This window comes from Homo sapiens, chromosome 17, assembly GCF_000001405.40.
Source record: "Homo sapiens chromosome 17, GRCh38.p14 Primary Assembly".
Lineage (NCBI taxonomy): Eukaryota > Metazoa > Chordata > Mammalia > Primates > Hominidae > Homo > Homo sapiens.
This window is the reverse complement of record NC_000017.11, coordinates 80,990,251-81,000,822: the sequence shown is the minus strand read 5'-3', so window position 1 is coordinate 81,000,822 and position 10,572 is coordinate 80,990,251. Positions and strand designations below refer to the sequence as shown.

The following is a 10,572-nucleotide window of genomic DNA, read 5'->3' as shown; positions in this document are numbered from 1 at the left end:
ACGCACTGCTGCAGGGAGCAGGTCATGGGGCTGGAGCCTCATCACGAGGTGCCCTCCAGGCTGCCTGGCAGTCCTGGGGACAGACAGGGGGAGCGCCAGCCAACTAGTTTTCTGCAGAATCCCTGCAAGGGTGGTTGGAAGACCCCCTCAACCCCAGCTGACACGTGCACCGCAGGAGAGCTGCCGCCACGGGGAGAAACAAGACTTTCCCCCAAACCCAGGTCTTCAGCTTCTTCAGTCCTGAGACCCGGCAGTGCAGGGCCAGCACCCCCATGCCCACCGGTGCGGGGTGTGGAGCCACCCCTTGGGGGTCACCTGCCCATCGTGTTCCCTGCACATCAAGATTCCCGCCTGGGCACCAGGACCCCAAACCCACCACCCTCTGGGCCCAGGATTACACACAGCCACGCGAGGGAGACAGCCTGCCAGCCTGCTCAGAGCAGCACCCTGGCCCCCATGGAGGGCAGCTGCCCAGAGGTGGCCGTCAGGGCCCAGAGCTTCCATCTCACGTGTGCAGAGCCCAGGCCTGGCCGGACTGGGCAGGAGCCCTCCAGTGAGCGTCCCCATGCTGGTCAAGGGGCTGGGCTTTGGTCAGGGTCACCGTGGGGGAGGGGCCGCACACAACCCACCCACGCTCCCACAGAGGGAGCCACGCCTAGGTGCCCACTGCGCCCAAGTCCACGAGGCAGTGGGCGTGCAGGGCCAACTTTAATACGGGCCGGCCTGTCTGGGGGTCGAGGTGGCCGCTCCCTTTGTCCTTGTGGCTTTCCACGGGCAGGGGCGGTCCCAGCGAGATCGTCTCATAACCAAACCAGCCCTGTGCACGAGAAGTCACGCCATGCCCCACAGCCTCCAGTCCTGGCTGCTGGTGGCTCGGGGACCCGCAGGGCAGGAGGGTCCCGGGTCTCGCAGTTCCATGAGCCCCAGCCGCGGGGACCCCCATGGACAAACTTCCGGGGCTGCACCTGCCGGAGCAGCGTCTCCCAAGCATCGGAGGTCCTTTCTCAGCAGGGCTGAGCCCTAGTGGACAGAGCCGTGAGTGGCAAGGCGGGAGTCAGGGCTCTCGGAGTCGTCAATTCAGCAAGAAAGCCCCTGGCCCGCCACCTTCAAACTGGAGGTGGGTGTCTAGGGTGCGGAGGCAGAGGCACAGAGAGGTTCAGCACATGCTGGTCTCCTGGGGATCCCCCCACCAGCAGGGAAGCTGAGGTGCGCCGGGAAGCCAGGCCAAGGGAGGGACCCCTTAACGGAAGCCTGCACCAGCTAATGGGAGCAGCGAGGAGCAAGAGGAAGCGCGGGGACCCCAAGGTCTGGAGGTGTCTTCCTCACAGACGAGCGCGAGCCACGCGGGGCTGGGACTGCAGGGGAACAGCACCAGAGGCGTTGGGCCTGGGCCTCGGCCACCGGGGGAGCCCACAACCGGCAGAAGCTGGGCTCGGTCGAGAGTTAATCCGGACTGAGAGCAGGCCAGTGGCGCCTGAGTGCGTTCAGGCTCAAGGTCTCCAGGAGACGCTCTGGAGTCCTCCTGCAATGCGCCTGCGTGGCTGCAGCTCTGCTCAGCACCGTGCGCACTGGGCTCCAGGGAACCCGGTCAGGGGCTGGCCGTGACCCAAACTCTCTGTGGGCCACAGTCCCTGGGGCATCCCCGTGAGTCCCACAAGACGAGGCCACGTTACGAAGCTGCCACCAGCTCCGCCTGCCTGGGCCTGGCCTTGACAGGGACGTTTTCTGTGGAGGAAACAGAGATGTTTATGACACGCCAAAGACCCACAGGCAGAGACCTCCAGAGAGGGACGAGGCCACAGGGGTGGCAAGGGCCAGTTCCGGGGACTTCGCACTAGGGAAGGGCACGCCCAGCTCTGGGGGAGGCAAGTGACAAACAGGAAGCCAATGGGGCTGACAGACAGGGCCAGGGACACGGGACAGTGGGCCAGGAAAGCACAGCCCCTCCCAGCGGGACTCAGAGAGGAGAAGAGCCCCAAAGATGGGTAAAGGAACAGAACAAACGTGGATGGACGGTTCTAAAGTCAGCTTCCCAGTGGGCAGGTTGGAGAGCCTGTGCTGAATGGTGCCACGGGGAGAGCCATCCCTGGCTGAGGGCTAATCCTGGGCTACACCCTGGGAATGAGCTGGTGCTGCTAAAGAAGCCTTTCCCCAGTTCTGATTTCTGAATGTGTCTCTTTGAATGGGGTATGGCTCTCTTATGAGGTTGCCCAGTTACCGAACCCCTGGGAAACCCAAGCCCAACCCCAAGGCCAGGCACGCACGCCCCCAAGCCAAACAGCCAGGCAGCAGGGCTTGCCCACGGCCCAGGAAGGCCTGGGAGCATTCTGTCTTGTTCCCTTCTAGAATCCACTTTTCTCCTGCGAATTCCAACCATTCAAAAGAATCAAACATGGAAATACCTGGGATCTTCTCAGGAAGGGGCTCGGAGGGAACCTCTGGCAGCTCTATTTGTTCCTGCAAGAAGCAAAGGGTAAGGCTATGAGCAGGTGACAGGTCTGCCCCGGGCTGCCTGGGCCTCCCCGAGAGGACACGGATCCTGTCCGTCAGCCGCTCTCAGCCGGAGTTAAAGCGGACAGGAACGTGCTGCTCAGAAGACCCAAGTCTGCAACCGCCCCGGCTTCTGGTGCCACCAGAATCCCCTAGGTGGTGACGCAGCCGCTACCATGGAGGCTCCTCCCAACAGACCCTGGGGCGCTGAGGGGCTGTAAGGAGGCGACGTCCTGGGTGTGCCCCAGAGACCCTGGCTCTCAGGGACCGAGGGGTGGGTGACACAGACACCCAGGTCACGCTGGTGTCCACCACTGCGGGGTGGGCTGCGGTACAACGCTGTCCCAGCGAGCTTGGCTGCCTAAGCCAGCACGGGTGCTTCTGCCTCTCAGCTGGCCTTCCCTGGAGGCCCCGGAGGACTCGGACCCTCAGGAGAAAGTAACTGGACAAGCAAGTGGGTGCAGGCACCATGGGCCGCACAGCACCAGGGCGCCGGGGCAGCTGGCAGCAGGGCTGGGGCAGAGGCCGGCTCTGGGGGCACCATGAGAATTTGGCGGACTGAGGCAGGGGCCCACAGAGAGGACAACCCCTGTGTCGGGGAGTGAATACAGACTCAGAGCCTGGATGTGAGCCTGGGGCCAGGACGCGGCCCCCGCAGCGAGGGCCTATGTGGGACGTGAGTCAGCAGCCACGGCTGGGGAAAGCCAGCACCACATCCGTGACAGCCGGGGACAGAAAGGGGCCGAGGCGCCAGGAAGGCCCAGCACCCCCGCTCTGTCCAGGGCACGGGGCCAGCCTGCCTGCACCAGACCGTTGGGTGAGCAACCCTGAAAACAGAGTCACCTCAGGTAGGAAAACCAGTCACAAACCGCAGACTATTTACTTAAAGGACACCACATACGAGATCACCATGGGCAGGGCCTCCTGGGGGTCTGAGCTCTGGGGGTCCCGCTGCCTGAGTGACTGTGCTCAGTCCCGGGGGGGCCGTTACCTGAGTGATTGCGCTCAGCTCCTCCAGGATGGCGTCTTCATCCTCCTGAGTGAAGCTTCCTGCCAGGAGCTCGTCTATTTGCTGCAAAAGGACAGGCGGTGGTGAGAGCAGCGAGGAGGTGGCCCCTCAGGGAGGAAGGAGATGGCCTGTGGCTGGGTCTCGTCCCCTTGAGAGAAGGCGGCCGCTCTAGGATGTGGGACAGTTTGGCCCTCGAGGGTGGCCTTGTGGGTTCTCACAGTTGGGGGCAGGCCGGTCAGGGTGCCACCTACCCGCTGGTACTCCACGGCCTCCTGCGTCTCGTCCAGGATCCTCTCCACCTCTTCAATGGACATCACCTGTGGACGAGGGTGATGGGTGTTGACCCCTGTCGCGAGGCCAATGGTAGACCCCCGACAGAGGCCTCCTGGGCTCTCAGGGCCATGGCCTCACCCCTCTGTTTATTTTTATTTATTTTTAAAGACAAGGTCTGGCTGTGTTGCCCAGGCTGGGCTCAAGCGATCCGTCCAAGTAGCTGGGACTACAGGTGCATGCCACCACACCCAGCTCCTGTCCCTGTTTAAATGAGGCCAGGACATGTGTGTCCCAGGCATGGGCCTGTCCTGAGGCCACAGGGGCCGTTTGATGAGTCTTTTCAGAGGCCACGACTGCACTGCCCTGGCGCCCGATGCCCCCTCTCACCCTGAGTCAGCTCTCACAGCCGCCAGTAAAAACAAGCAACAGGTAGAACATTCTGGGCAGGTGACTTGATTTCTTTTGAGTGGCAAAAGGTCAAAGGGCCACTTGTGCTTGACCGGCACACACCACCAGTACTCACCAAACACTTGGAAAAGTAGCACAGCCAGACCTCCCGCCAGGTGAGTCCCTGGCTCTCCAACTAGCCCCACCTACTGGCCCCCATGTCAGGAGTGTGATGGGGTTGGTGGGGGAACGTGGTATGGCCACGCTGGGCTTCACATCCATGCCCGGCCTGAGATGAGGCCGGTATTCACCTCCTCCAGGAAGCCTTCTTTTTTTTTTTTCCTGAGACGGAGTTTTGCTCTTATCATCCAGGCTGGAGTGCAGTGGCGCAATCTCATCTCACTGCAACCTCTGCCTCCCGGTTCAAGAGATTCTCCTGCCTCAGCCTCTTGAGTAGCTGGGTTTACAGGTGCCTGCCACCACGCCTGGCTCATTTTTGTATTATTAGTAGAGACAGGGTTTCACCATGTTGGCCAGGCTGGTCTCGAACTCCTGACCTCAGGTGATCTGCCTGCCTTGGCCTCCAAAAGTGATTACAGGTGTGAGCCACCACACCCGCCACCTCCAGGAAGCCTTCTGTGATTAGTTTGCCAGCCCCCTCCCCACCCTCAGACTTCCCTTCTATGTCACTTCGGCGCCTGGGGACCCAGTTCCCACAGTTCCCAGCCTGTGCTGCACCCGGTCACTGCATCCCTGCCTGCCTGGCAGCACCCAACACATCTCCCCTGCCAGCCTCTTGCCCTGTGTCTGACACGAACACCGTGGGACAAGCCCCCCGCCCTATCCCCAGCTCCAGCCCAATGGGCTCCCCACACCTCCATGCCCCTGGCCCTGCAGAGACTCACCTGGTGCATCTTGTTCAGACACTCATTTCCAAACTGCAGCCCCTCCATCACTTTCATTTCGATCTGGGTGAACTCAATACTCTGAACCTGAAAAGGAAACCAGAGCAGACGCAGGTGCTGAGGATCCGGGGTGCCCTCCTCCCGGCCCTGGGGCAGGGTTCAGGATGACACCCTTGCTGGGCGGGTGCTGCTGGGCGTGAGGGTGACTCCTGACACCTGCTCCTCCCTGTCCTCTCCCACTGCCAGGTGGGGATGCGCAGGACTGAGCAGGTGCCAGGGACACACTCAGGGGACCGCTGGTTGCTTGTTAGTAGCTCTGGTTACCAAAGAGCAGAACCACGCCGCTCGGGTCCCTAACACCAGGGACACTCAGTCCCCATGCAGACCCCTGACCTACCCACACCACCCAGGGGTGGCCCAACCTTCCCCACCTCAGTCCTGCGAGAGCCAACCTGCCCCCCAGCCTCTTAAGACCATTAGCTTCCTGGCAGACTCCCCGGGATTCCAGGCCCGCCCCTCTTCAGGTCAGCTTCAGCCCGAGGCATCTGAGAGGAGCTTTCAGCTCTCGGGAGAAATTTCTGATGTCCACGCAGCCGGGCGGAGCTGCCTCCAGCTGCACCTGCACTCCAGGGCGAAGCACCCGGCCGCCTACCATGGCCTCCAGGCTGCTGATCTGGTTCTCCGTCCTGTCCAGGAGCTGCTCCTGGTATCGCTTCTTCTTGAGCAGCAGCTTGGCCCGTCTGCAGAGGGAAGCCCGAGAGTGACCCGCTGTGGCCCTGCCTGGGCCCCCCACCCCAGCCGACAGGGTGCCCACGCTGCCCGGGCCCCCCACCCCAGCCGACAGGGTGCCCACGCTGCCCGGGCCCCCCACCCCAGCCGACAGGGTGCCCACGCTGCCCGGGCCCCCCACCCCAGCCGACAGGGTGCCCACGCTGCCCGGGCCCCCCACCCCAGCCGACAGGGTGCCCACGCTGCCCGGGCCCCCCACCCCAGCCGACAGGGTGCCCACGCTGCCCGGGCCCCCCACCCCAGCCGACAGGGTGCCCACGCTGCCCGGGCCCCACTCACTCCTTCCTGCCGTCCCGCAGCAGCTGCCGGGCCAGGGCGCGCTCGCGCTCCAGCTGCTGGGCGATCCTCTTCTGGTACTGCCTCAGCTTGTCCCGCTGCTGCTTCAGTTGCTGCCAAGAGAGAGAGGGCCTGGCGTCACCGAGCCCACACTGGGAGCCCTGGCCACGCTACTGAGCGCCAGGCATGGAGGCCGGGCGGCCCTCCGTGAGTGTCCTTCATGGGGCAGGGTTGCCTTCCAGGGGACAGGTGGTGCTGTCTGGACACGTCTGGGGGTGGAAGCCAGGGACTCAGCTCCACATCCTGCCACACAAGAGGCGGCCCCACCAGAGGGTCACCCGGACTCCACAGCCCATCACAGGGATGGGGAAGACCACCGTGGCATTGCTGTGGGTCCACCCTCGAGGCTGCCTGCCAGCGGTACAAGCACTCTAGGCTCAGGTCAGGGAGCAGCTGCCAGGACCTCAAAGGTTTGGACTCGGCTGGGCGCAGTGGCTCACGCCTGTAATCCCAGCACTTTGGGAGGCCGAGGCGGGCGGAGCACGAGGTCAGGAGATCGAGACCATCCTGGCTAACATGGTGAAACCCCGTCTCTACTAAAAATACATAAAAATATTAGCCGGGTGTGGTGGCGGTGCCTGTAGTCCCAGCTACCTGGGAGGCTGAGGCAGGAGAACAGCGTGAACCCGGGAGGCAGAGCTTGCAGTGAGCCGAGAGTATGCCACTGTGTTCCAGCCTGGGTGACAGAGTGAGACTCCATCTCAAAAAAAAAAAGTTCCGACTCAAGAACATGCAGGTGGCGAGTACCCAAGTGCCACCAGCCACACGGCCAGGACAGGGCTCAGACATCCCCCCGGCTTCTCTCCTTGCGCTTCAGCCGCATGAGATGCCTGTGGCTTCCCTGCCCCTTTGCCAACCATCCGGCTGCAGGGACACCCACTCGGCCCCGCTGACCGCCTCTCATCTGTGTGCCGTCCCAGAGAGGGCACTCGGCCACTGAGGAACTTCAGCCAGTCCTGCTCTATCAGGTCCTTAAGTTTTCCAAACGTCATCACTTCAGACAATGCTGAGCCCGTGCAGGCACAGGGATTATGGCCTTAAGGCAGGAGGCTGAGGAGAATTAGCTCAGTCAGGGCCTGTGTGCCTCTTTAAGACTCCGCATGGGAAGCCAGTGCTCCCTCTACCTGAGAGGGCTCATTCCCGGTTCCCTCCACCCACGGAGTCTCCCCCTCGCCGTGCCAAGGCCTGTGGGTCCTCTCGTTGCTACAGTGAAAGGTGCCCCCTGCCCAGCCCCACTGCTGGGGAGACCCAGGGGCCAAAGGCAGGCAGGTGTGGCCAGGCTGCCCCCCTGTAAAACAAGGTCTCAGTGGAGGGTCACAGGCCACGTGGGGAACACCTGTTATCCTAGAAAAACAGAAAAAAAAAAGCAATCATTTGTGCTAGTGTGTGCTAAGGATGCTGTTCCCAAGCACCCAAAATCCCAGGGAGACCTACGGCAGCCCGCAACACGGGTCTGCACAGCCGAGAGCCCACAGTGACCCTTGGCAAGTGGAAAGCTGTGCTTGAAGAGAAACCGGAGCTGAGTCCTTAAAGAGAGGGGAGGGAGTGCCTTGGGGCTGGCAGGGTAGGTGGAAGGTGGACGATGGAGGCTGGGTCCAGCTGTCTTGCAGGCAGCTCGGGACGGTGCCCAGCGCTGTGCCCATCTTCTCTAGGGACAAATGTGCCCGTTGTTTCTTTTCACAGCTTATGGACTCAGATGCCAACGTAAGATTCCCTCTTTCATTTACATTCGCTTCTCTTTTAGTATAAAATTAACCTATTTCTGTTGCACAAAATTTAGAAAAGAAAGCATCCGAAAAAGCTAGCCCTGCTTTCATTTCGGGGTCTCTTTCGTGACACGTTTATCTCGTTACAAAAATGGACTATTCTTAACCCGCCCTGTCCCTGACATGCCAGGCGATTCCTCCTCCTACAGAAGCTAACTTTCACATGGGAAAAGGCACCACCACCGGCCCGGCTGTGCCCCGGGGGGTCAGTCTGGAGTCGCCGCAAACAAACGCGCCAAACACGGTGGTCCCGTACCCAGGCGCTGCGGAAGCCCGGCAGGACCCCGGCAGGACCCCGGCAGGCGTTCGGCGCACCTGTCGGCCGCTCCTCGGACCAGGGCAGACTTCCTTCCAGTCCTGGCCTGGATGGGGTGAGGGAGAGGGGATGCCCCGCGCTGCCTCGCGAAGCCGGCAGCACCGCCGGGGCTCCGGCCCAGGGCACCAGGAGGCAAATGAGCCGCGGGACGGGGGCGGGGGCAGCGACTCCGGGAGAGCCGGGACCTGCTCCCGCGGGCCCAGAGCCAGGGAAAGCCCAGCGCCGCGCGGACCCCACGGACGGGCCGCCAGGCTGTGGCCGAGCCCCGAACGCCGGCGTCGAATCCCGCAGTCACCAGCCGCGCCCACCCCGGCGGGGCTCGCAGAGGCGGACGCGCGGGCCCCGGGGAAGACGGCAGCCACGGCGCCGCGCAGGAGACCCCGGCCCGAGGCCCCGCGGGCGAGGAGGGACGCAGGGCGGAGAGACCGAGGGGCCCGGCTGCGCGCTGCGCCTCAGTTTCCCCATCCGAACGCGGGGGGCCGAGGGCGCGGGGCTCTTCCGGCCCCGCCGCCCGCCCCGGCCCCGTCGCCTGTCCCGGCCCCAGCCCTGACCCCGGGCCCGGGCCCTCACCAGGATGGCCTTGTCCTGCTCCGTGACGCGGCTCTGCTTCTTGCGGCCGAACAGGTTACCCATGGCGGCGCCCGCCCCTGGCCCGGGACCCACCAAGTCCAATCGCCACCGCCGCCCCGCGGCCACCGTAGCTCGGGTCCTCCCGCTACGGCGGCCGCGCCGGGCCAGGCGCCGCGGAACGCGAAGGCCGAGCGCCGCCTCCGGCCGCGCGCCGTTGCCGCGGGTTCGAAACCACAGCCCGCCGGTCTCGGCGACCGCCGCGAACACCGCGGCCTCCTTGGACCGGTACGGAGAAGTGGCACGGATACCTGGATGTTAGGGCCCGCGATGTTCGGGCCCGGGATGTTCTAAATGACGTGTTTCCGTGCACCCTTCCTGTGCAGGTGAAGGCAAAAATTTCTTATCTCCTAATTAGGTGGGATCCTTTTAGATTAACATAATTCAGTCTCCCCAGGCTTTCAGGAATCTTGTGCAGGAATCACTGTCCCACTGGCTCTGAACACAAAATGCCGCATTAATGATGTGATATCCAACGTTTTGCACTTTTTTTTTTTTTTTTTTTTTTAGATGGAGTCCTGCTCTGTCGCCCAGGGTGGAGTGCAGGGGCGCTATCTCGGCTCACTACAAACTCTGCCTCCCGGGTTCAAGTGATTTTCCTGCTTCAGCCTCCTGAGTAGCTGGGACTACAGGTGCCTGCTGCCACACCCGGCTAATGTTTGTTAGTAGAGACGGGGTTTCACCATATTGGCCAGGCTGGCCTTGAGCTCCTGACCTTCTGATCCACCCACCTCGGGCTCCCAAAGTGCTGGGATGACAGGCGTGAGCCGCCGCACCCGGCCCGCTTTGCACTTTAAAATGTTCCCTGAAATGCGACCAGCAGCGCCCTCCACCCAGCCTTTCAGCCCTGGGATCTTCCCTCTTCCACTGCGCTGCTCCCTGTCTGTAGATCAGTGCCAGGAGGAGACCAGCATGGCTGGGCTCAGCTTCTCCTTCCAAGGAATCGTGGCTGCGTCCCCCACAGAAGCATTCTTCCCTGGGGGGCTAAGAAACACATGAATGGGGATAAAGGGTAAAAGGGAGAAGCCACCCCGGTTCCCGCCTGAGTATCCTGACTGTGGTTCCTGAGCATTCACTAAGTGTCAAAGAAAAGCACTCAGCTGAGGATGGCTTGAGGCCAGGAGTTCAAGACCAGCCTGGCAACATAGCAAGACCCCCGTCTCTACAAAAAATATAACAAATAACATCAAAAGGAGAATAATTATCACCTGTTCCAAACCTCTGGACTCCAGAACCTTCACTGAGGTGAGGGGGCCCCTGAATTTTTGTGGGGTTCATCTCCCACCCTCTGATTTGTCTCACCAAGACATCTGAAGTACTTTTTTCCTTGGTGTCCATGGGGACGTTGAGGAAAAAAAAAAAAAAGACTTGCTACTCCCTGCTCCTCATGAAGGGGGAAGGAAGAGCTGGGTAGAGGAAGGCGTGATCCTTGGCTAGGGATCCCCCCACCGCCTGTGCCCACAAACCTAGGTGAGGACAGGGATTTTTGTTTTCCTGCCCAAATGTTGCATTTCCAAAGACCACCCTGGCCTGCCACGCCCCCATCCTGTCCCTATAAAATCCCCGAGACTCTAGCAGACTCCATCTGGCCAGGTGTGGTGGCTCACGCCTGTAATACCAGCACTTTGGGAGGCTGAGGTGGGTGGATCACCTGAGGTCAGGAGTTCGACATCA

The 10,572-nt window shown here is 62.1% G+C and overlaps 1 protein-coding gene across 2 annotated transcripts, besides 3 other annotated features; it reads right to left on the bottom strand.

Annotated features, from left to right (window-relative positions):
* Window positions 1-689: 689 nt before the first annotated feature.
* On the bottom strand, window positions 690-8,982 carry CHMP6 (charged multivesicular body protein 6). Of its 2 annotated transcripts, NM_024591.5 has the most exons (8): window positions 8,842-8,982; window positions 6,133-6,242; window positions 5,717-5,804; window positions 5,065-5,151; window positions 3,751-3,816; window positions 3,482-3,562; window positions 2,403-2,457; window positions 690-1,725 (listed from the first exon to the last, which is right to left on the bottom strand). In NM_024591.5, the coding sequence occupies exons 1-8, from the start codon at window positions 8,902-8,904 to the stop codon at window positions 1,670-1,672; spliced, it is 606 nt and encodes a 201-aa protein (NP_078867.2). In that variant the 5' UTR covers window positions 8,905-8,982; the 3' UTR covers window positions 690-1,669. The 2 variants fall into 2 exon arrangements, with proteins under 2 accessions (NP_078867.2, XP_005257725.1); XM_005257668.1 differs by lacking the exon at window positions 690-1,725 and having other exon boundaries at window positions 2,159-2,457.
* Window positions 8,280-8,469: a silencer, noted in NCBI's record as "silent region_9114". NCBI's record gives its function as "represses an Ori minimal core promoter by ATAC-STARR-seq in GM12878 lymphoblastoid cells {active_cell/tissue: GM12878}" and the evidence as "EXISTENCE:reporter gene assay evidence [ECO:0000049][PMID:35858748]".
* Window positions 8,480-8,629: a silencer, noted in NCBI's record as "silent region_9113". NCBI's record gives its function as "represses an Ori minimal core promoter by ATAC-STARR-seq in GM12878 lymphoblastoid cells {active_cell/tissue: GM12878}" and the evidence as "EXISTENCE:reporter gene assay evidence [ECO:0000049][PMID:35858748]".
* Window positions 8,760-9,089: a silencer, noted in NCBI's record as "silent region_9112". NCBI's record gives its function as "represses an Ori minimal core promoter by ATAC-STARR-seq in GM12878 lymphoblastoid cells {active_cell/tissue: GM12878}" and the evidence as "EXISTENCE:reporter gene assay evidence [ECO:0000049][PMID:35858748]".

Excerpts from the sequence above, each read along its gene's own strand:
- CHMP6 (XM_005257668.1), bottom strand. The coding sequence starts at position 8,904 with ATGGGTAACCTGTTCGGCCGCAAGAAGCAGAGCCGCGTCACGGAGCAG. Across the intron at positions 3,817-5,064 it reads GTCTGAACAAGATGCACCAG|GTGATGTCCATTGAAGAGGT; the intron begins GTGAGTCTCTGC and ends CCTCGTCCACAG. Across the intron at positions 3,563-3,750 it reads AGGCCGTGGAGTACCAGCGG|CAAATAGACGAGCTCCTGGC; the intron begins GTAGGTGGCACC and ends GTCCTTTTGCAG.